Raw genomic sequence first — 25,932 nt, forward strand, 5'->3', positions numbered from 1 at the left:
ACACTTGGCTAAATTTGTATGTGAAAAAAAATTCATCTCTCCTTTTCTAATTTTAATATCTAAAATTTTTGCCTTTAAATAACTACCTTATCAACTCAGACTTTTAAAAGAGTATTTCCCTTTCCCTTTGTGTTATGAAATTGGGGTGCGTGTCTTCAAAAGCATTTTGATGACAGGATGAATAAATCACTGTGATGCTGACATAATGAGACCACAGCTTCAAACCGGTTTCAAAGGGGAGTGAATAAGCATCAGCTAAAAAAACCAAGTTTGTGTTCCACCTGTGAATAGATAGGGTAAAGCCTAGTGTAGAGCAGATACACTGAACAGTTGTTTATTTGTTAATTCATTGAAAATTGTAAATATGAGGTTTCTCATTATTTAATGTCCAATTTCTCAATTTGTTTATCAGAAAAATCATTATTATTGAATACTTCCTTCTTCTGGTACCCATTGTTTAATTTTCTTTTAGTTTGTTCTGTGTAGAAAAAAGAGGCACTTACGTAGATAAAACAGATAATGCAAGGAAAAGTTTATCTCAGAAAAAAAATCCTGATTTTCTTTCTTTGACATAAAAGTTATTAACTTTGATATATTTCTGCTTATTGAAAATTACATTTCAGTGACCTAAAAGACACATAGGTTAAAAAAACAGTTTATTCAATTTAATATTTTGTTAAAAGTGAAATTCAACAGCAGAACCGTTATTTGATCGCCTTAGGAGATTGGGTTTGGTTTCCCTTCCTCTCTTTGAATTTTTTTCTTTTCTTTCTTTTTTTTTTTGCTACTAAGAAGAAATGCTTTTAAGTTGTCATGTTGCCAAATCCTAATAGTAATTCCTTATGTGGTAAAATTCAGAGTTGTAGCACCAGCTCCGATGCATATAGTTTCACAAACCCCCCAAAAAAATTTGGAACCATTCAAAATGTATCGTGAGAGTCAAGTTTAGATAAGACAACTAAAGTGATTTTTTTTCCCATGTTGAGCTATGTACCACTAAGTATTTGGGATACTTGTGAAATAAATTTTACTAGAATCAAGTATTTTAATTCACTTAACAAAGTGTATATTGGATATATAAGCCAGTGTGTGTGTATCTCCAGACATCAAATTATACTTTAATTATAAATGAGTAAAATGAATACATTTAAATTAATATGGATATATATGAATTATATATAAGCTAGTTATTATAATTACATATAATTATAATTTTAAATCCTTGAATTCTTAAATATGAATTATACAAGTCTTATACTAATTTTTCTATCATATTTTTATATTTTATATTAATAGTTATACCATTATATATTTCTAATTGTATTCACTAGTGCATTACTAGAGAATGTTTGTTTCCCACAATGCACTAAAGATCTATGAAATTAGAGATGTCATCTGTCTTGGTCACTGGTATATCCCCAGCTCCTAGAACACTTCCTTACTTAGAGTAGACATTCAATAAATATTTGTTGAATTAATGATTCAGGCTGATGATCTAGAGAGAATAAGGGAGTTCTAGATTTTTCAACTTTTTCTTCATTTTTGTATGATATTGACCCAATGCTGTATGTTTATTAATGGAATATCTATTGTGTATTAAACAAAAAAGTTGTGCCTTCATATCTGATATGTACTTTTACCTACAAAGAGGCTTTTTACCCAGAATGCTCCTGCACACACTTTGCTGCTTCTTAAGGTGCATTTTACCTGAAGACTCCAGAGTGGAGTGGATTAATATGATTCAAAAATGAGAAGCATAGATTATTTCTCATGCTAACTATTAAAATGTACCCTTTCCATCAGAAAAAAAAAAATGGTATTTAGACCCTCTCTTTTATCCACTCCTACTAACCAATGTTTCCTGTCTCCTGTACAGTCAAGGGTTCAGCAAAGCCTAGTGCGTGTGATACTCAAATTAGCATTAAACAAATTATTACTAGAAATATAAAGATCAATAAATATTGTTCATGCCCTTGAAGAGTTTATAATCTAGTGACAGACTGTGGGACCAAGATAGTGGGACGAAGACAGAAAAACAGAGATCACTTCTGATTTTTGTGGAAAGTGTATCTAGATATCTGTGCAGGGTACTGTGAAACTACAGAGGTTGGGGAGTTGATGTCGTCCCATCTGGTGGCTCAGATTTGGCTTCCTAGGAGAGAGGCTTTCCCAGAGATGACCCAGGAGCTGAATCTTGAAGCACAACTAGGAATTAGCCACCCAAATAAGATGGCCGACTGAGGGGACAATACGTACAGCAACACAGAGTCAGAAAGGACCTGGGATGAACAGGTAGCTCCAAGCAGGTTAGTACTTGAGCATTCAGGAGAAGCTACAGAGCATTTGGAGAAGAGCTTGTAAAGACAGAAGGAGTCCCAGTTGCAGGGATCCCATATGTTAAGTCACATGGGTGGACATTATGAGGAGGCATGATGAGGAGTCAAGGAAAAGATGTACATAAGTGAGGGAAGGCCATGTTCAGACTTTGCACTATAGCTGGGTCCCTGTCAGTGTGAGGAGAGTTCAAGAGGAACAAGATCCTGCCAGAAATTGTGTTCACTCTTCTTTTTACTTTGCTGACCTAAAGACTAATATTCAATGAATGGACTCAAATTGTCAAATATTTTTAAAGTATTTTGGTTTTTGTCTTAGGTTGTTTGTGCTATGATAACGGAATACCGCAAACTGGGTAATTTATAAAGAAGAGAAGTTTATTTCTCACAGTTCTGGAGGCTGGGAAGTCCAAGATCAAGGTGCTGACATCTGGTGAGGGCTGCTTTCTGCTTCCAAGATGGCATCTTGAGAGCCAAATCCTCTGGAGGATAGGAATGCTGTGTCTTCCTATGGCAGAAGGTGGAAAGGCAAAAAAGGAATAAACTTCTTCCAACAAGGCTTTTTATGATGGAATTAATCTATTTCATATGATTGTACTCCAAACATTTTTAAGGCGATAATACAAAATATTTATAAAGCAAACTTTTGAGGAAATTCATTGAGATCACCATTTCTTATTTTTCTGCTAATTTAATTAAAACATCTCCCAAAGGCTCTACCCAACACCTCCCAAAGGTCCCCACCTCCCAACACTATTGCATTGGGGATTAAGTTTCAACATGAATTTTTGGAGAGGACAAAAACATTCAAACCATAACAGCATTAGAATAATTTTTCTCAGCAATGTTGGTTCTGCCTGTTACAGAGTGTTTTGGAAATTTGTGGGAGCATCTTTGGTTGTCCAGATGATTGGCGTGTAGCAAGCTGTCCTGCAATGTGCTGCACAGCCCAGCATAAAGAATTCTCCCTTATTCTGGCTTCTTACTGTCCCTCCATACCAACTATAAATCAGTACTTTAATGTGTAATTGTATTGAAACGTTTTATAAGATGTTCTGCATATGCTTAATAATTTGCACAGGAAAAATTAAATGGAATAAACAGTTTCTCTCAAGATAATTAAATAAGTAACTTAGTTTATACATCCTGTCTATTCCTGATATTTTAAGATTTCTAGCCACACATTTAGTTTAAAATCGTGTTCGTAGCTGGGCACGGTGGCTCATGCCTGTATAATCCTAGCACTTTGGGAGGCAGAGGTGACTGAATTACTTGAGCTCAGGAGTTCAAGACCAGCCTGGGCAGCATGGCAAAACCCCATCTCTACAAAAAATACAAAAATTAGCCTGGCATGGTGGCGAACACCTGTGGTCCCAGCTACTCAGGAGGCTGAGGTGGGAGGGAGGATTTCATGAGCCTAGGAGGTTGGGGCTACAGTGAGCCAAGATTGCACCACTATACTGTAGCCTGGGCAACAGAGCAAGACCTGTCTCAAAAAATATATAAATAAAATAAAATAGTGTTAGTGCAGTAGAAGAATTACCTCAAAAGCCACAAACCAAATTAAAAATATATAGCCATGGAAATGTGCAACCTTTTTAAAATAACTATCATTAAATTACCAGAGTAACAAGAAACACAGGATCTCATTGAATTTCATCAACAAAGTTTGCTTTATAAATATTTTGTATTATTGCCTTTTAAAGTTTTTAGAGCACAATCATATGAAATTTATGTTGTGATAATTATATAATGATTTATTTATCTGAGGGTGGCCAGCTTGTTGCTTTTTTAATCTTACTGTTTTACTGCCTAGCAAAGTCTACCACCCAACTTCTGAGAAGGCAGTTTTGTGACTATTTCTTTGTCCAATTCAGCCTCAATTCTCTGTTGCCTATGGAGGGATCTCCAGGGCCTTTTAAAGTACTGGGGAATTAATGCTTGCTTCAGAATGTTATGGAATTTTGAGACAGGATAAATATTCTCTGTGATATTTCCACACTATCTTACCCTAACACATAGAGAATTATTTTGACACTATTCATCTGTAAGGAACACTCACTTGGGAGAATATTCATGCTCAATTGTGAGTGTCACACTTCCTGATTTTCTCCACTATGACGTTTGTAATTTGATTGGCATGTTATATTTATTTTAATAAAGGTTATTTCCTTCTTTCCCTTATAATATATAACAAGTATGATCTGTTATTACATATCGTATTAGTCCATTTTCACACTGCTGTAAAGAACTACCTGAGACTGGGTAATTTATAAAGAAAAGAGCTTTAATTGGCTCACAGTTCTGCATGGCTGGGGAGGCCTCGGGAAACTTACAATCATGGCAGAAGCAGCAAGGTATGTCCTACATGGCATCAGGAGAGAGAGAGCGAGGGGGGATCTGCCACACACTCTTAAACCATCAGATCTCGTGAGAACTCACTCACTATCATGAGAACAGCATGGCAGAAAGCGCCCCCATGATTCAATCACCTCCCACCAGGTCCCTCCCCCGACCTGTGAGGATTACAATTTGACATGAAATTTGGGTGGGGACACAAAGCCAAACCATATCAGTGTCTCAACTAGTTTTTATTCTAGTATCCATCTAGATCTCTACTCTCATGTTCCCATTCTCATACAGAATGGCTTTTGATCACGTTATTTTTCTCACACCCAACCTTATTCTTTAAAAGTAGAGGCAAATGGCTGGGTGTGGTGGCTCACACCTCTAATCCCAGCACTTTGGAAGGCTGAGACAGACAGATCACCTGAGGTCAGGAGTTTAAGACCAACCTGGCCAACATGCTGAAACCTCATCTCTACTAAAAATACAAAAATTAGCTAGGTGTCATGGTGCACCCCTGTAATCCCAGCTACTTGGGAGGCTGAGGCACAAGAATCTCTTGAACCTGGGAGGCAGAGGCTGCAGTGAGCCAAGGTAGTGCTACTGCACTCCAGCCTGTGCAATAGAGTGAGATTCTGTCTCCAAAAAAAAAAAAAAAAAGTAGAAGCAAACATCTGATTCATTCATAAAAATGTTTCCTGAGGTAGTTGCATATGAGCATCATGTATATAATGACACTTACATCATCTTACTATAAATTACTTTTCTTATATTTCTTCTTTATAATACATTTAGGGCACAACAATAAAGTATATTGATTTTTTCTTTGAAATAATGTGTGTAAATAGGCTATAATTCTATGAATTTTACTTAAGTATAATAGAAGTGGCATTACAAAATATTTGTTATTAAAGGGAACGTTGAATCCAATATAGTTGAGAACCACAGTGCTAGAGGTAAAATGCTGAACAAGATAGTCCTGTCCCCTACTCTCATGAAAACTCTCTTAACTGTTTTATAAAGTCCAAAAGTGGTTGGAGAAAAGAAATAACTAATGGTATTGTGATATGGTGAGAAAGATAATGTGAGAGTAATATTTGTCTGGGGCCCTGACCTGAGTAAGGATGGTAAAGAGGGCATATGGACAAAGAAGAGAAAAATAATCTTGATCCAGTCTATTAAGATGGAGAATGAAGACAGCAGCAGCCATCCTTGGCTAGGTCTGTTTTACATTTACTGTGAATGCTAAAACATCACTAATATTTAAAGTTATTTTTCCTGTAAATATTGGCCCTAATAAAAAAAATAAGTAATTGGTTCTGTATGGCAAAATACCCAGTCCGTGGAATTCTGAACCAGGCTGTCCTCAACAAAGGTTCATTTTCTAGTGTAAGCCATTCCATCAAAGAATGGCTCATCCTTCTGCCACTCAACACCAAAACCAAAGCCACATGGAGGTGATGGGTAAAACTAACCATAGAAAAGTCACAATTAGGCAGAATTCCCCTGTTCTCATGTAGACCCAGAATAGAGCCTTGATGGTTACTTGATATCTACACAGAGGACAAATAGGCCAAGGGAATACCTAAGAATTGAGCCATCAGTTGTAACCAAGTTCCCACTCAGCAGGTTATTTAATCTCCCTCTCCTTCACTGTACCTGTTCTTACTTAGTCCTGTTGGGAAAAAAAAAAAAAAAAAGTGGGGGAGGGACCAAAAAATTGTGTAGAGTAGCATGGGGATGCTGTATGAAATAGTGATTATTTTAAAGCTCCTGGGGCAAAGAAATTAAGAAAATATAGAAGTCATCTTTTGTCTCTAGAGAAAGTATTCCATTTGCTTTTCCTAATCATATGTGAATGATAAAAATGAAGTTTTAAGTGCCTACACCTATATTCAGTATCTTTATATTGCATGTACTCAGTAAGGAGTATTTTCAAAAGAAATCAGCAGCCATGTGTAAATGTTTTGTTTCAATTGCACCCCCTAGCACTATAAACCTTGTAATTGTTTTCCCTCCCATTGGAATATCTTAAACAAAAACAGAATGTTCTAATTAACCCACTGGAGACTTATAATGATATAATAAAGATAACTTGCTCTTGTTTTGTCATTTGAAAGTAATTAAACAAAAGTTCCTTATTTAGGGAGTGATCAGGGCTTAAATTGTTTTTTTGTTTTTTAAGTTATATTCTTGGTGTTTTACTGGTAGACGTAGTTGAAAATTTAAATCATTAGGAGGTAACGTGGGGGTAGCTTTAAAAGTTATCATCGGTCAGGTGCGGTGGCTCATGCCTGTAATCCCAGCACTTTGGAAGGCCAAGGTGGGTAGATCATTTGAGGTCAGGAGTTCAAGACAAGCCTGGCCAACATGGTGAAACCCCGTTGCTGCTAAAAATATAAAAATTAGCCGGCGGTAGTGGCGCACGCCTCTAATCCCAGCTACTCAGGAGACTGAGGCAGGAGAATCGCTTGAACCCGGGAGGCGGAGGTTGCAGTGAGCCGAGATCGCACCACTGCACTCCCGTGTGGGCGACAGAGTGAGACCCTGTCCCCCCTCCAAAAAAAAGTTATCATCACTAAAGTTCATTTAAGTTCCATTATCTGAAGAAAGATATATAAAGCAGCAGAGAAAGTTCGCAACTATTCAATGACAAAAAGCTATCTGAAACTCTCATCTTCCACCTCAATTTTTCAGATATTTTAGGGAAATCATATTTTAAGAGTTCCACTGTTTGGTTAGTAAGGCAAAGGACAATGCAATACATACCTTGTACCAGTAATATATTATTTATTAATAAAAAGTTTAGACATCAATTAATTCTATTATCTTTATCTTATTTAAATGTAACACAAAAGTAAAGAAATACTTAGAAAACATTTTTGTGAACTTAAAATTGGATGATGGATTGAAACTGCTTGGGAAAATGTAAAATAACAAAAATGTAAAATAACAATAAAATAACACAGAAATCCAAACTTTTAATATTCAGATAAATTATGCAAAACATAGAATTCAAGTTTCAATTCTCCTAATTCCCTAACTGGTAAGTGAAGTGTGGGGATCTTCCTAAAACTCACCTTTATTCCTAAGGAACCAATACATTTGAGACTCTTGATTTATGAAATTTTAATTGAATCTAAATTTAACATAATGAAATTAGTTGAGTAGAACTATTGTAATACAAACGTAATTACGTTCCTTAGAAAAAACTCTCAGGCATGGTGTTAAAGGCATAATTTTTATGATCTCCAAATATTTTTCAAGTCTTGTTTGTATATGAGCACGTATTTATATACATAAAAGTACTATAAATACTTTCATATTTTAATCCTCCAACACCTTTTCAACCAGATGATATTATTCCCATTATACAGATAAAAGACCAAGGGTCAGGAGGTTAAATGAGTTTCCTCTCCAAGACTAAAAGCTTAGGTCTTGTCTGCAAACCCAGTGCAGCTCTTCCTCAAGTTCAAATGAAGATTTTTTTTTTTTTTGAGACAGGGTCTCATTTTGTCCAGAGTAGGTAGGACTATAAGTACATGCAACCACTCTCACTTCCCCAAGTGAAAATATCCTATTAGAAATGTTTAGATAGCTAGGTGTAGTAACTCACACCTGTAGACCAGGCTACTCTAAAGGCTGAGGCGGGAGGATCCCTTGAGCTCAGGAGTTCGAGTCCAGTCCTGGGCAACAAAGCAAGATTCTCCTACCCTTCGTTTCTAAATAAATAAATACATAGGCTGGGCGTGGCGGCTCACACCTGGGATTACAGAATCCCAGAACTTTGGGAGGTTGAGGTGGGAGGATCACTTGAGGTCAGGAGTTTGAGACCAGCCTGGCCAACATGGTGAAACCCCATCTCTACTAAAAATACAAAAATTAGCCGGGCACGGTGATGCATGCCTGTAGTCCCAGCTACTCGGGAGGCTGAGGCAAAAGAATTGCTTGAACCCAGGAGGCAGAGGTTGCAGTGGGCCGAGATTGCGCCACTGCACTCCAGCCTGGTGACAGAGTGAGACTCCGTCTCAAAATAAATAAATAAATAATTAAATAACTAAATACATAAATATTTAGCACAGCATGGGGTAGTTCTCAGTGTGTGGTGCCCTGCTCAGCAGTATTGGCGTCACCTGAGAGCTTGTTACAAGTGTGAATTTCCTGGCCCTTCCTCAGACCTACTAAACCAGAAACTTTGGGATGGGGCCCAGCATTCTGTTTTAACAAACCTTCCAATGGCTTCTGATGAACCCTAAAGTTTGACAACCAATGGCATAGAGTTTTCTTTTTCTCTGGCTCATTAAATTGTCAAACCCAGTACAAAAATTATTAGTTTCGAGAAAGGGCCTATTAATGTACATTAAAAGGGCCAATTTTTACTGAATGCTTATCATGTAGCAAGCATTGTTCTATGAACCTTCACTCATTGAATCATCACAATGAGCCCTGCAAGGTAGGTGTTATTACTGATCGCTGAGGCATAGAGAGATTTGGTGATTTTCCAATCTCTAGTGGCAGAGAAGAGGTGGTCAGATTTGAGAATCCATATTCTTAACCATACCGTTCACATGCAATCTGAGAATTTACACAGTCAGCACATATGCCTCAAGAGAATGCTGCCTGGTGCACTGGAAAACACACCAAGCTTTGGAGTTAGACACACCTGGGTGGAATTCCAGCTAGTCAAGTAGTGAACAGAAAGAAACTTCCTTTGCAGAGATGAAAGAACCAGGCAGATTGTTTCTGAAACACAAATACAAGTTTGCAACTTAATAAGTAGAAATATTTCTTTAAAACTTCTGCTTTCCTAAAATAGTCTTCTGCCTCAGGCTTACATGGACTACAAAATACTGGGAGAAAAAAAATGTGCTGCAGAATTCTTGTGTTATAAACATTTATGAATAAGGTAGCAAAATATAAGGAATCTCATGGGAATTTGTTTCCATGCTATTTCCTCATTAGCAATGATATATTTTTATTTCATAGCTTCCAGGCGTTTCCATTCTGTAGTCCCCATATTATGAAAAACTGTTCAAGATTTTCAAGTGCAAGTGCAAAAACACAAATACTTCACAAAAAGAATTTAGCTTATATCAAAATAAAGCCATGCAGAGAAGGGAGACAATTTTAGCCTCCTACCATTATCCTTATTTCCATTTGGTGTAACTTATACAAGTAGCAGATCCTTTAAAAAACATATATAAGAGCATGTCATTTTCCTACATATGCCCTTCAACAGTGGTTTCTCATCACACATAAAATAAAGCCTTATGGTGGCTGGCAAAGCCCTCCATGAGATGGTCTCAGGCTCTCTCTCCCAACCTCGAGTCCTCACTCATTCCTCAGAAACAGTTGGTCCTTTGCTGCTCCTTTAACAAGTCAAGCAAGCTCCCTCCAGCCTCCAGCCCTTGTACTTACTCTTCTCTTTTCCTTGGTAACTTTTCCCAAATATTCACAAGGATTTTCTCCCTGTATTCCTTCTGGTCTCCAGTTAAATATCACCTTTCAGAGAGACCTTCCCTGACCACCTTTAAAATAAAAATCTCACCCCCTGATACCATCTATCCCAAATTCATAGTTTTGTTTTTTATTCATAGTACTTATCACTTGTCTCATGTTAATATATTCATTTGTTCATCTTTAATTATCTTCACTCTTCACAGGAATTTCAGCTCCCCAAAAGACAAGACTTTGTCTGATGCTCTGTTGTTTTTCTGACACCTGGAACAGTGCCTGGCCTTGTTTAGGCCTGTTATTGTTCATTTTTTTTAACATTTTTCTTTATTTCTTTTAACATACAGTATGCTGCAGAATAATCAGCTAAGACACGTACCCACAGAAGCTCTGCAGAATTTGCGAAGCCTTCAATCCCTGTAAGTATAGTAGACATTGCAAAATATATTTAAGATCAATTTGGGAAGAAGCATTGAAATGTTCAGTTGACCATTTTAGTATGTTCCTTGGTTGGGAGTCATACCTAAATGTATTGTGAATGAGAGCCCATTAGAGTAACAACTCTTCATAGCCTCATTGAGCAATATGTATGGGAGGAACCAGTGTTGGAGTTTGGGGTTTTAGGGTGGACATTTAATTGCAACATCTCCAGTCCAAAGCACTACTTCCAAGATCCTGTCCTACATTCCCTTGTAATATTCTTGCTTCTGAATTCGAATAAGAAATAGTGCTTTCCTTTTACCTAAAAAAAAAAAATAGATGCTGTAATCTAGACATTTTGACATCTTTGATTTATTCTGTTTTAGGATTATTTGAGTTGCCTTGTAATCAAGTTTTTTCGAGTCAAATAAAGGCTTACTATTTTAGTACTGCCTATATAATACATTAGGGATCCTCAAGTCAGGAGCCTAAGATCTACTGGTATATCCTGAAGCTTCCCCATCACAGAACACAGATGTGCAGACATGGCCATAAACAATCCCACAGATACAAACATACCTTAGATTCACACACCACACACAGACACATGGACTCACAGAGGTGTTGGTGTTCCCTACTCTGAATCCACAACTTTTCCATCAGGAGTTTCCTACCCCCCTACACACACTGATTTAAAACTTCTGAATAAATAAAATTACTCACAAAAGAACATTCTCCCAGCTAAATGTTTTGGAACTTGTATTGTAAGCAGTTGATTGTAGTGATTACTTGGCAAGTCTATACCACTACTATTTAGTCAGTAAATCTTCCTCCCATTAGAATGTATAAGTGTTTACAATATACTGCATGATGTCCAATATATCACACGTGTGATATATGCTGTAATTTTACTTACAATGGAGATGCACATCTGCCAAACAAAATACTGGGTTGTAGTTCGTGATGAGGAAGATAAATGCATTAAAAGGGCAAATAAATATTGATAAATATTGTGGACTCCAGCTGAAAATTGTTGTAAAGAATCCTTCGGTTAATAATTACATATAGTTTGCTTAATGCGTTTTACCGAGGTAACATAGAAGGAGGACTGTGAGATTTGAAGATGATACTTTCGTCCTTTGATCTTTTTTTCTTTTTAATGAAAGAAAATCTGTGCTTGAGATCATTTCAAGCCTTTTACTCCAGTCAAACAAAGTGACTTCCTAGGTTTTCACCAGCCTATAGATAAACAAGCCCACAAGGGCCCCTTTGTGGTATGAGATAGGTCTGTTGTATTTTCTGGAGCTCCTTAATGTCATGACAGTATCACTTCTCCTTTGTTGCACAAGCCTTTACCTGAAGGAAAGAAGAAACAGCTGGAGAAGCAAAACAGCCTCAAGTTGGGGTATCTGTGTGGCAAAATTGAAATGGTGATAATGGCGGTAGCCAGTAGGAACTTTAAACAGCTGCAAGGCAGGCAGTAGATAGAAGGATAAGAGTTTGTAACCAAAAGCCACTATCAGCTGAAAGAAGATCACAAACAGAACACAAACAGAAGTGAACTCTTTGAGAAAAAGAAAACCATGAATCTTTTGTTCACTGGAACTGGTGGTGCCTGCCTGATAAAGGTGTTCAGATTTAGTTTCTTACAGTCTAGATATTCACTGTTCACCAGGTGTCTCTACATTTGGTTTCTGGTTTTGCAAAAAGAATAACATTTTGAAACTTTATAACTATGTGTTCCCTGTGAAAAGGTCAAGGGTTAACTTTCTGGTTTGACACTGACCACATCCAAACTAAAGGATCTAGATAGATACTCGGCCCCCAGTTCACACTGGATTGTATCAGCTGGGTTATGCAATGTTTGTCAGGGGCCCCTTTGTCCAGAGCACAGACAGACCAGTGTGAGTGTTGAATGTTGACAATGTGTGCCAGTGTCCCACTTTTTCTCACTGATATTTTTTGTGCAGCTTTGATGCAAGACTTAAGAGTTGTCAAAAAAAAAAAAAAAAGCATGATATGTTGGGAGGTTAAAGTGGGAGGATCACTTGGAGGCCAGGAGTTTGAGATCAGCTTGGGCAACATAGTGAGACACCCCCACTGCCATCTCTACAAAATAAAAATTAAAAAACTTAGCTAGGTGTGGTGACATGTGCCCGCAGTCCCAGCTAGTCGGGAGGCTGAAGCAGGAGGATCACTTGGGCCCAGGAGTTTGAGGTTACAGGTTACAGTGAGCTATATCATGCCACTGCACTCCAGCCTGAGCTACAGAGCACCACTCCAGAGTAAGAAAAGAAAAGAAAAGAAAAAAGAAAAGAGCATGATAAACATAGGCTGAACCACCAACTCTGCAGATACCATATTGTACCAACAAAAGGAGTGCCCTACCCATACATACACAAGGCCAGTTTGGAGGTTTAGGGTATATTGTGCCCCTTTAAAGTTCTATTGTCCTGGTTTTAAAGTATTTAATTGTACTTCTCCTTCTTCCTTTAAGCACGTCTAAAAATAAAAACATTAGTTTGAATTTACTGATCATTACAAACATGCATTCCTTATCCATTCTCCATTCATTTTCCAGGCCATACGTTAGCCTCTGTGCTTCCGTATCAATAAAGTAATGATGAGAGTAGGACTCTGCCTCATCCACACTGCCAATGCCTAGAAAGTCTCCACTCCATTGCCATCTCTTCTTGGACTGGAGTCAACCCTTAGATCTTCACTTAGCCTTTTTTTCTACATGGTTTCCCTTTTTTTTTCTTTTCACTCTCTTGAATTCACTTTATTTTTCTCCACGTTATTATTTTTCTTGGATTATACATTCACTCTTTAAGAAGCACTCTACCCTTGATAGGGGCTGTGAGCTCATTGTCTTTATACATGCCTGGCCTTGTATAAAGAGTAATGGCAAAAACCACATTTACTTTTGTACCAACTGAATAACTTCTACAGCAGGCCTTCTCAACACTGGCTACAAATAAGATTCTTCTGGAAAGACCCAAAGCCTAGACTGCAGCCTAGAACAATTAAAATCAGAATCTCTGGCCAGGTATGGTGGCTCATGCCTGTAATCTCAGCGTTTTGGGAGGCTGAAGTGGGAGGATCACTTGAACCCAGGAGTTTGAGACCAGCTTGGACAACATAGTGAGACCCCTGTCTCTCTATAAAAAATTAAAAAGTTAGCTGGGCATGGTGGCCTGCGCCTATAATCCCAGCTACACATGAGGCTGAGGTGGGAGGATCACTTGAACTCAAGAAGAATTCGAGGGTACAGTGAGCCCTGATCATGCCACTGCACTCTCTGAGGATAGGACTCATGCATGCACTAGTGTTTTCTAACTGGCTTAATTGCACAGTTAAGTATTTCCTAAGTGAAAATTAGGAAAACTATTGACCTGACCTGGAGCATTCCCTCAGATGATCTGCAAAGTATTCTCCAGAACTCTTTTCAAACCTGAAATTACAAGCTTGAGTAATGCAGTGAGATGCTGTCTCTAAAAATAATTAAGTAAATAAATAAAATTGGCTGGGCGTCATGTGCATGACTGTAGTCCCACCTATGCTGGAGGCTGAGGTGGGAGGATCATTTGAGCCCAGGAGTTTGAGGCTGCAGTGAGCTATGATCCTGCCACTGCACTCCAGCCCGGGCAATAGAGCAAGACCGTGTCTCTGAAAAAAAGGAAAAGAAATACCTGAAATAATAACAAAATCCATACTTTGCACTCTTCTATGAGCTAATAATATACTTAAAATATAAAAGTCAGGCATTGTCTTATTTGTGTTTAATTGAAAACAGCTTGCATGCCTATGCATTCCACTGATAACCCAGGGAGATAAAGTTAAGAGGCCACATGCTCTATCACCCTGCTATTCAGATTTGTTCTGTGGGCCAGCAGCATCAGCACTGCCTAAGAAATGCAGAACACTTGGTCTCAGCTCTGTCTTACTTAAAAAAATCTTCATTTTAACAAAATCCTAGGTGATTCGTAGGCAAAATGCATTTGAGAAATTAAAATTGTTAGTGTTCTATAACACTAACAAAGTGGTCTACAAATCAAAAATGGTTGAAAACGACTGACGTAGATCATTTGCATTCTTTGCTCCACCCATATACACTTGGCTTCCTTGAATAAAGTTTAGGAAATTTGATACACTGAAATTGGTAACATTGCTGTCAGGAAGAAACAAATTGTGCTCATGTTTCAAGGAATGTTAATTTTCCACTTATTCCACATATACAAAAGATGTTTTGTTCATAATGGAAACACATAGGTACACTTGTGGTTTTTTTGTTTTGTTTTGTTTTTTGAGTTGGAGTCTCACTCTGTTGCCCAGGCTGGAGTACAGTGGTGCGATCTCAGCTCGCTGCAACCTCCACCTCCCAGGTTCAAGCGATTTTTCTGCCTCAGCCTCCTAAGTAGCTGGAATTACAGGCACCTGCCACCACGGCTGGCTAATTTTTTGTATTTTTGTAGAGACAGGGTTTCACTATGTTGGTCAGGCTGGTCTCGAATGCCTGAGCTCAAGTAATCTGCCTGCCTTGGCCTCCCAAAGTGCCGGGATTACAGGAGTGAGCCACAGTACCCAGGCCACTTGTGTTCTTTTAACTCTTCTGATGCTAACAAATTGCTGGGCTAAGGAATAAGAGTGCAGGCCCACAAGCCAGAGCCCAGAAGCCCAGAGCCTGCCCCTGTACAGTATGTACATTTGGCTTCTGACATGGCAATGACTTCCCAGACACCAATTAGATTTTTTGTAATGTAATCAAATATAACCTAATTTCCTTTCTGTTTTTTGGAAGGGAATAGGAAATGTAATCAGAATTCACAGTAAGCTGTATTTTACCAAAAAACTTTTGGGAGTATAGACATTTGAGGACTAGAATCAGATTACAGTGATTTGATGGAAACTCAAAACTTAACCCTCCCATACCCTCACACTTTTATATTAATAGTTAAGAAATCAATCTATTTAAAAAATTGCTTCATTTGTGATTGTCATTAATGAATTTTAAGCAACTCACTGTCACTAGTGAAGTTCAAGATGACCAAAGAGAGTTGCATATTCATGTTTGTCCAGATAACCAGAGTACTATTTAATGCCTGTTGGTTTTTATTCCAAGTGTGCACAAGTGAAGCTAACTGTGGAATTTGCATAATCGCAAAGGTAATAGGTTGGCAAATAGAAAATGAAAGAAGAATTAAACATATCTTTATTATTGTCTCTATTCTCCAATTAACTAATATTCATCTTCAGAATATGACTATATTTTAAAACTCAAGAATAATGTATAATTTCTGCCTGGCACACCAGCTGCCCATACATCTTATTATGATATCATCTTCAGGGCTATAGAACCCACCCCTGGACTCTATAAAATGTCAATAACTTCATCGGATTCTGCATGGTAATCTTTTCCTTACAGTAGTCAAAAAAGAGAGAGAAAATAAGTGAGAGGAATGGGTGAGGAGGAAGACATGGGGCTCACTGTGCTGAGCAGGAGGTAAGACAAGCCTAGAACCAGGAGCAGTTTTCTCCCATTAATATCCAGGAGGCTATTGGGCTTCAGACATGGGATATAGAATGGGAAGGAAGTAACAGAAGACAAGGAAGTGTAAGCAGACCAAAAGAAAGAAGATGAGGTAGCCAAAAGAATAAGATTAAAGGATCAAAGGGGTTAAAAAAACAGTGGTTTTAGTATTGGTGATATTCCTTCCACTAAAATAGTCTCCAGAAACAGAAATCACAAGCCTATACAATAAAAATGAACCGTGACTTTAGTTTGTTTTGCTTTCTTCACAAAAGTGCCAGGGTATTAGGTACGTATTGGGATGGAGGTGAACTTAGAAGTTCTAGAGGCCAAAGCATTTGTCTATTGCACAGTGAAGCGTTCACTTCACGGAACCATATGCAGATCAGCACCCAGTGAATTCTTATGAGGAGGAAAAGTTTTGCCCGGACTCTTCTCCAATTTGAACATTGGGGAGAATTATTTTAACAGGAAAAGCTCCTTCTACATAATGTTTACAAGAAGAGAGAGCTAAAATTGGAGCATTGTCCACAGAATCATATAAGGAGGGAAAAGTGAATACTTTATGCAATAGCCATGCATGAAAGATTCTTATATCAGGTTACCTGCCAGTCCTGTGATAAATTGCATGCATGGCAGTCATATCAGAGAAATAAAGAGAATATGGGTATTATGGAATGAGAAGTAAAATAAATTTTTTTAAAGCTTGTGGTGTAAAATGAAGGTTAACTTTGGAAAGTAGATTGAACTCTTGGTTACAGAGATGACTACCATATAAGTGAGGCACAGTCTTTCTGCCTTTTCAGGATAAACACGGTCTGTGATCAGTTGTGAAAAGACACATAAGGAAAGCAGCAGAGAATGTGAATATTGCAAAGACAAAATCAGAATGTGGAATTGAATGCACTTCCATGGTTATCAAAGCAGCAGCCTCCCATATTTACTAAACAGTTTTACTTCCATCATCATGCTTTATCCTCACAGAAACCTCATGAAGTAGGTGCTGAGATTATTCCCTCCTTAGTACTGAGGAAGCAAAGAGTGCAGAGAGGTCAGCTGATCTTCCCAAGGTCACATGATTTGTAACGGAGTCAGGCTAGAGGTGAGTCTGGGATAAGAACCCTAGTTTGCCACCAGATTCCAGAATCTGACCATTTCACCACCACATTATCTTACCTCCCTCAGAGAATCCTCTGCAGAAAATGGGCACTGATGAAAAGAAGGAAAGGCTTAACAGAAACACATATTATACCTGTAGACATATAATTGTGAATGTTTATAAAAAGAAAGGGAAGTTGGAATGCTGGAAAACAGAAAGAAATAAATGAAAGAAGGGAAGGCAACAATATCAAAGCGTGAGCCAGTCAGCCTTTTCAAGTGTTTCTCTGTGCATTTAGTTGTCTGGTCCCTCACTACCTATGAGGTAGAAACTGTCTCCACTTTTCTGATGAGGAAACCGTAGGTGAGAAAGTGAAAGGCATCCTACTGCTAATGCAAAAGTAAGGATTGATTAGACAAAGACAAGAAAGAAGAACATTCCAGACAGAGGGAACTATGTGTGCAACTCCTTATATTGGTGGGGGAAGCCTGGTATATCAAGAAACAGAAGGTCAGTGCAGCTGAAGCAGAAGTGAGGTGGAGAGACGTGCAAGAAGAGCACATCTAGTGAGGCAGGTGGAGGCCAGACCCCTTGAAAGATATTTGGGACATGTCAAGGATTTCAGTCTTTACTGTAAAAGCAATGGGAATCTGTTGGAGGGTTTTAAGGCTGGCAGGTGGGGGTACTCAGATCTGTGTCATTGCAATAGTCTAGGAGAGAAAGGAGAACTTCATCAGGTTAGGGACGGTGGAGATGAAGAAAGGGAGATGGATTCGAGAAATATCTAGGAGATGAAATTACCAGTGTTTGGTAATGAATTGGCTATGAAGAATGAAGCAGAAAGAAGTGTGGAGAATAATTTCTAAGTTTCTGATTTATACAGCCATGTGCTTACTGAAGCCAGTCACTGGGCAAGACACACTGGGAGACGGCTATACATATTTGGGGAGTGTGTGGTTCCAGGATAATGAGTTTGGTCTTGAGCACTTGTGTTTGAGGAGGAACAACTAAGTAGAGATGTCACATAGTTTGAAATCCAGATCTGGATGGAAAGAAAAAAAAAAAGTAAAATCTAGTTTAGGTTCCCCAACCATGCATTCCTCTTCACCTAACACTTCATTATAATGATTGATTTGTCTGACTACCCTTTAGAAAACATGCTCCATAATGGCTGGGACCATGCCTCCCTGGTTTACTGCTAAATCTTCAGCACCAGTAGAGTAGCTAGGACAAAGAAAGCACTAGGACATACGTATCAGACTGAACTGAAACCTCAAACTCTTAAGTGTTGATCTAGACAGCTGCTCAGACAAGATCGGGCACATTCAAGGTGATAGGGCCATAGGCTAGACAGCCACTCAAGATCAGTTCATCTCCCCTAGTTTAACTGTAACCTGCATTCATTCATCTCCCTGGCTCCAAACTCTTACCTCTGTACCCTGGCTTTCCCACATGCCTTTCCTGGGCTGGGAGTTGGACCCAGTGGTTCCTGCAGAGATTTTAGAGTTGATCTATCTGCCAGAATTAGTTTTCCCATTGTCTCAACTGAGGACTCCCCATTCCAAGAGTAAGACACAGGAAAGAACCATGATATTAAGTCTTGGAAGGTTAATGAGATTCAGATAGGCAGTGGGTAGGGGATGCTCATGAACAAAAGGCCCAGAAGTACTGTGGGAAAGAGCCAGAAAAGAGACTTGACTGGGACAGAGAAATGAGGTAAAAGTTTGGCCAGATAAGGTAAGTAGAGAGCTTTGAATATCAGAATGGAAAGTTAGGGTTTAAAAGGAATGATAATGTGGAAGAACTGTAGATTTCTAACAGGGAAATTATTTAAGGCGTAACTTCAGGGAGATTAATCTGGCAGCAGCCTACAGGATTAATTGAAGAGATAAGAGATCAAAGGCAAAAGGACCAGCTCAGAGGCTGTTGCAGTAATGCAGGTGTGAAGAGATAAGAGAATTAACTAGACAGTGGAAATGGAAAGTCTCGGAGATGAAGATAAATGGAAAGAACTTAGTGAATGATTGGCTGGAAGGCAATGGAAGATTCAAAAATGACCCCTAGATTTTAAACCCTGGTGATACCTGGAAGACTAATAGTGCCCCTGATAGAAAAAGGGTCTTCGTTTTCTATGAAGAAAAATAAAACTGAAGAAGTTATTGCTCACATTACATTGGCTGTAGATCATCTCCTTGCTACAGTATTCACAGCAGTGGTGATCTCTGAGCTCACCAAGCAACTTTTAATGTGATTTGACTTTAAAATATATTCCTTATTGGAGTCTTGCACTCCTCAAAGACGCCAGAGAGACAGAGGTTTGGTTCCTTTAGACATTTCATCTGGCTGCTAGTCAAGACAGCTGATTAGTCTCTAAATTACTGCACTTCAATGAACCTGTAGACTTTATCTCTCCCCAACCTGGAGAGGGAGAAAGGGGAAATTCTTTTTTTTTTTTCTTTGTCTTTTTTTTTTCTTCGTCTTTTTTTTTTTCTTCTTCTTCTTTTTTTTTTTTTTGTTAACCATTTCAGAGGTAAGTCTAAAGCAATAATTTTTCTTCCTACTGGCCTCATTAAGTTTACCAGTAAATAAGATGGTGATTAGAAAGACAAAAGCACAAATTTCCCATATAAGCAATCATGTTATTTAATATCTTCCTAGATAGGCTTAATATCTCCCTGGATATTAATTTGGAATCACACATTATGGTCTCCATAAATATTAAAAAAAAAAAAACCACCACCACAACAAAAGTGACCCTGGTGTTATTGCAAAGAATTAATATAAATCAATATGGATTCAAGCTGTAAGAGTACATATAGATTAAATAATAGGCCGATAGTATTATAATAGTTCTGTGACAAATTTAGCTCCAATGATCCACTGATTCCAGGGCAATAAAATTTCAATGCAGTAAAATTTTATCACAACAAAAAATGTATGTACTTTGTTAAACTGTAATATATGCAGATACAGAACCACACGATTTTCACTTTATTGAAAAAGTAAAATAATAATCAAGAATGCTTTTATTTCTTAAAATTTATAAATGAACTATATTGCTGTGGTTTTTTGGCTTTCCTGACTTGTTCAAAGTGGTCTCACAAAATGTACAATGTACTGTTTAAGAGGGTTGGTCACCTCTTTAAAACTTATTTTTTTAAAATGCTCATCCAGGCCAGGAGCCGTGGCTCACACCTGTAAACCCAGCACTTTGGGAAGCCGAGGCAGGAGGATTGCTTGAGCCCAGGAGTTCAAGACCAGCCTAGGCAACATGGCAAGACCCCATCTCTACAAAAGTAACAAAATAAAAATAAAAATAAAAATAAATCTTTTTATAATGCTCATCCAGCCGGGCACAGTGGCTCACCCCTGTAGTCCTAACACTTTCGGAGGCCAAGGCGGGAGGATCACTTGAGATCAGGAGTTTGAGACCAACCTGGCCAACATGGTGAAACCCTGTCTCTACCAAAAAATACAAAAAATTAGCTGGGCATGGTGGTGTACACCTGTGGTCCCAGCTGCTCTGCTGGGGAGGCTGAGATGGAAGAATCACTTGAACCCAAGAGCAGAGGTTGCAGTGAGCTGAGATCCTGCCACTGCACTCCAGCGTGAGTGACAGAGTGAGACCCTGTCTCAAAAAAATAAATAAATAAAATGCTCATCCAAATATAAAATAGCAGTATCAGTCATAAAAATGCATTGCTTCATAACTCTGTTTATTACAAGAATCCCTATAAACTGTATTATGCAGCTGCAAGATTCTTCACACTTTTGGCTTTTTTTTTTCTCCAAGTCATCCATGTTAATAATTGACATTATTACAGTCATCTCAGATATGGAATTAACCAAGATCAATGGCTTATCTTTTGACTAACACTTTACTTCTTATAGTTAATGGCTCATCAAAGACATTCTTAAACAAAGATACAGATTTGTGTGATACATTGACAAGGTGTCATATATGAGATATGTATAAAGGGCCATTTTCTGGAACAACAATAGCAATAATGATCTGATACATTCTCTAATCTTTACAATAACACCATTTATAAGTGGAAAGTTTTTTCAGGGAGTATGGAGCAGATTGGCAAAATGTTTCTTGTAAAAGAGAAAATTTGCATTATTAACCTTTTCACATAGAAATATTAGGAAGAAAACTTTAAACACAAAGAAAATGAGCTTATTTTATTTGGTGGCAGGGGCAGGTGGGGTTGCCTGAACATAAAAGATTAATTGTTTGAGGCCTAGCACTTTGGGAGGCCAAGGCAGGCAGATCACCTGAGGTCAGGAGTTCAAGACCAGCCTGGCAAACATGGGGAAACCCTGTCTCTACTAAAAATACAAAAAAATTAGCTGGGTGTGGTGGCATGCACCTATAATACCAGCTACTCAGGAGGCTGAGGCAGGAGAATTGCTTGAACCCAGGAGGTGGAGGTTGCAGTGAGCCAAGATTGGACCACTGCACTCCAGCCTGGGAGACAGAGTGAGACTCAGTCTCAAAATATATATATATATATATTAACTGTTTGCCTGTTACCTTCTAGCTCTTTGCCACATAGAACACATTGATATGACAGAACCGCATTCACAGTGAACATGGAGTTATGTTTTATTTTTATTTTACCTAATACTGGGTGACATTCATCTCTGTTCTCGCATCCATCCAGTTGCCCAGGCCAGAATGCTGAATCACCATAGCTTCCTCACCTTCCTCTCTGGCCACATCTGGGGAGTCACCAAGTTCTGCCAGGCCCACATATTTAACATCTCTCATAGTAGGCCCTTCCTCACCATTTTCACACTTCCTTCAGGCACTGATCTTTCTCACCCTGATGACTGCAACTGCCTTGGTAATGTACTTTCCCACTAGGCCCTCCTACACACTGCTATTAGAGTGACCTTTCTACAGCACATGTATTATGAGGGCCTCCAGTCAGAAAGCCTACAACACCCCCATTTCAGAGAAACACTTTCATGCAAACCTTGAAGACTGCTGGGAGAGGATAAGTCATTTCTTGTAGGCAGGTAGCCCAGAAACCTGGGAGTGATGTCATCCAGACTCCACTTACTTTGGATACTCAAAGTTATTGAGGCCCCTCAGGGTGAACTTGATGGTTTTGACCAGGTCCAGTGGTGGGAGAGGCAACCACTGGGACCGTAAGAGACAGTCCCCTTGGCCAAGCAGCTTGAGCAGCAGCGCCTCTTGAGTAATTGCGGAGTCTTCAACCTCAAGCCCTCCCTCCAGAGAAGGAGTGATTTCAACACACACCCGAAAGTCATACCATGACCCTTCCTCATCAGTTGTAGCCCTCTAAGTAACATTGCAAAGACTCATACTTAATAAAAACTCCGTTCTTGCACCAGGTGTTATAATATTTTTCCTCAGCCATTTTAGCCTTTTGGACACCAACTATTCTATTGCTGGCCTAACACAGAAGATGTGCATCCTCTTTTCTCTGTGATGGAAACCTTGCTATAATACTAATTAAAACATGCAGTGTAGCTGCTGAACATAGATTAAAGAATGTATGGTAAATAGAGAAACACCAGCCCATATGGCAAGAAAATGGCAATCTCCCATAGACAGATGTGAAATGACAAAGGGTTAAGAAACTTCAGGAAGAATAAAATAAATTTTTAAAGGGAAAAATATGATACCACTTCCTAAATTTGAAGGTTTTCCTCAAATAATAAAGTCTGTCATTAAACAGTAGAATGCTTACTGTTTACAAAACACATTCGTATTTTCTCACTTAATTCCCAAAGCAATTCTGTGACATGTGATTCTGCCTTATACATGTGAACATTGACCCACAAAGAGAGATATCAATATGCCCTCAAATCTTGGAATTAAATGACAGTATCTTGACTTAAATCTGTGTCTCAAGTCTCCTGATTCAGTGCACTTTCCAGTTTACCACATGGTAATAGGTGCATGCCACCACACCCAGCTAATTTTTTTGTATTTTTAGTAGAGACAGGGTTTCCCCATGTTTGCCAGGCTGGTCTTGAACTCCTGACCTCAGGTGATCTGCCTGCCTTGGCCTCCCAAAGTGCTAGGCCTCAATTATGTAGGTGGCTGTAGATGGCATAAGATGTAGGGAAAATTTTTGTTTTACCTATAAATTATATATACTATATACTATAAACTATATGTAACAGACCCCCCCCAAAAGGACCATAAAGTGGGTGCTATTTCCGATATAGTGATCACTTTTCAGATGGCATTTCAAGATCACAATTAAGAGCTTTTATCTGAATGAAGGCAAGGCCACTCATTATTGAAAGTGTTTTACTTTGCTGCACATAACTGCAGACAGGTTTGGGGCTGCCTCTGTCACAATTTCAATGGATGCGTAAATGGCCAAGATGCCAAGATCATTGCTAGAAACTTTCTCTGAAAATGCCATCACTTCTTTGACCTTCAAAATGCAGATATTATAATCAGTGGTGTATCAGGAACAAAACTATTTGCCTTGTTGCACTGTGTGTGTGTGTGTGTGTGTGTGCGTAGATACATATACACATGCATAGCAATAATAGTAAAGGCTGAAAAAATAAGGGTGACTTCTATAAGTCTAATTGCAGGCACCTCTAAGTTATTTCTATTATGAGGGTTGAAAGAAATAGCCTGCATTTCTCAGAACTGAAATTCACTGACAATCCAGCACTCATTTTGGCCACTTTTGCTTAAGCAAAATTTGAATTTACCTTTATTTTTCTGAATGGTTTCAATGGTCAAAAGACAAAAATACAAAGTGTTAACCAGCTTCACATAATAATATTTAAAATCATTAAGGTACTTTAGATTTACAAAGTCCTGTTGTGTTATTTCCTTAATCAGAAAGCAACCCTATAAGATGGGAGTTATCCCTGTTTTACAGATGTGAAAGCTGAGGTCTGTTGATTTGGCCAAGGTCATACAGCTTCTAGAATTGGCTGGAACCTGGTACTTCCCATTCCAAATCTCTGCACTAATTTATGGATTCTAAGGTGCCTACACACACACACACACACACACACACACACACACCCTCTGTGACTTGCACAAAATGGAAATAACAAAGACATACTTAAAAGCAGAACTATATAGTGTAGTTATTTTTGTTGCTACTGATAATAAGTCTATTATGGAACCATATTTTATATGTGTATGTCTTCTTGTACCAGATAGTGATGTTTATCTTATACCCGACTGTTAAAATATTGCATTTTTCAAGCATATGAATAGAGAATGTTCAGCTGCCTGAAAAGACCAGATTGACGTAATATGAACTCTTTGTTTACTTGCTGAATGGACACAGCTTCTGCCCTGTCAGCTGCTTTGTCCACAGTCTTAACCTTGTTGTGGAAGAACCACCTGTGTGAGTGACTGGATAGTTAATTCTATACTCCTGTTTACCCTTGGGGTCTTCTGTTAAGAGTAAATCACATATAGAAGCAGAGTGTAGAATAGTGGTCGCCAGGGGCTGGGAGTGGGAGTGGTTGAGTGGGGAGATGTTGGAGAAGGGGTACAAAGCTTCAGTTAGACAGGATGAATAACTTCTGAAGAGCCATTGTATGGCATGGTGACTACAGTTAATAATAATATATTGTATACTTGAAAATTGCTAATAGATTAGATCTTAAATGTTGTCACCACAAAAAAATGTTAAGTATGTGAGGTGATGGATATGTTAATTAGCTTGATTTAATCATTTTACAATGTATACATATATCAAAACATCACATTGTACACCATAAATATATGCAATTTTTATTTGTCAATTATTCCTTAACAAAGCTGGAGGAGGAAATTAAATCAGATAATGCCTTTGAGTGTGAACAATATACCTGAATTAGGTTTAGACCACTGAGGCCAGGTGGATATGAACTCTAAAACACTGCATTTAGAAGGAGTATCATTTATTGAGAGCTTCTTATATGAAGAAACTGTTTAGTAGAGAGATGTGTTAATGCTTCACTCAGGACATCTGAAGGTCTATGCTGTTGAGCATTAAATCTGGGAATATTAGTATTTAGAGTGTTCGATCTCTGAAGAATTCTCCTGTCTTACTCATTTCATTTCAGATAGCAAATTGGTATAAGATAATAGTGTGGAGGCCAGATTATATCCTTTTTTCTGGGGGGAAAAGAAACGTGATTCATAAAAGATATTTGTCCAGAGAAATGGCTATATTAACGTTGGGAACTGATACCTGGGTCACTTCAAGATACAGCAGAAACTTTGGTAGGAACATAAAATACCAAAGAAGACAATCCTATGACTTCATGCTGAAAGAGCCTTTTCCATAAATGCATCCCAGTGTTTGCAATGAACTTTTTTGTCATTTTCAAGACTTTTATTTTTTTATTTTTTTTTTATTTTCTGTTGGCCAGGCTGGAATACAGTGGCAAGATCTCGGCTCACTGCAACCTCCACCTCCTGGGTTCAAGCAATTCTCGTGCCTCAGCCTCCCAAGTAGCTGGGATTACAGGCATGCACCACCACACCCACCTAATTTTTGTATTTTTGGTAGAGATGGGGTTTCACCGTGTTGGCTGGGCTGGTCTTGATCTCCTGACCTCTGTCTCCCTAAGTTCTGGGATTACAGGCATGAACCACTGCGCGCAGCCCAAGACTTTTAGAAACCACTCATACTTTCTTTTTTTTTTTTTTTTTAAGACAGAGTCTCACTCTGTTGGCCAGGCTGGAGTGCAGTGGCATGATCTCGGCTCACTGCAGCGTCTGCCTCCTGGGTTCAAGCGAT

At 38.5% G+C, this 25,932-nt stretch overlaps 1 protein-coding gene and 1 long non-coding RNA gene across 7 annotated transcripts in view, besides 1 other annotated feature; one reads left to right on the top strand and one right to left on the bottom strand.

Annotated features, from left to right (window-relative positions):
* The window catches only part of LGR5 (leucine rich repeat containing G protein-coupled receptor 5), a 147,182-nt gene that overhangs the window by 85,506 nt on the left and 35,744 nt on the right, over positions 1–25,932 (top strand). For all 6 annotated transcript variants that reach the window (NR_110596.2, XM_047429800.1, NM_003667.4 and 3 more), the window contains exon 4: positions 10,481–10,552. Coding sequence is in view for 5 of the 6 variants with exons in the window: in XM_047429800.1 (XP_047285756.1) it covers positions 10,481–10,552 (72 nt within the window). In the remaining variant the exon portion in view is untranslated. The remainder of the gene's footprint in view (positions 1–10,480; positions 10,553–25,932) is intronic.
* The window catches only part of LOC105369833 (uncharacterized), a 47,788-nt gene continuing 24,629 nt past the window's right edge, over positions 2,774–25,932 (bottom strand). The window contains exons 3-4 of the long non-coding RNA XR_001749200.2: positions 9,343–9,422; positions 2,774–2,841 (exon numbers count right to left, since the gene is read on the bottom strand). This is a non-coding gene — a long non-coding RNA (uncharacterized LOC105369833). The remainder of the gene's footprint in view (positions 2,842–9,342; positions 9,423–25,932) is intronic.
* Positions 21,841–22,041: a silencer, noted in NCBI's record as "peak1818 fragment used in MPRA reporter construct". NCBI's record gives its function as "represses an SCP1 promoter by STARR-seq MPRAs in K562 erythroleukemia cells {active_cell/tissue: K562}" and the evidence as "EXISTENCE:reporter gene assay evidence [ECO:0000049][PMID:32103011]".

The sequence above is a fragment of the Homo sapiens genome, chromosome 12 (assembly GCF_000001405.40).
Source record: "Homo sapiens chromosome 12, GRCh38.p14 Primary Assembly".
NCBI lineage: Eukaryota > Metazoa > Chordata > Mammalia > Primates > Hominidae > Homo > Homo sapiens.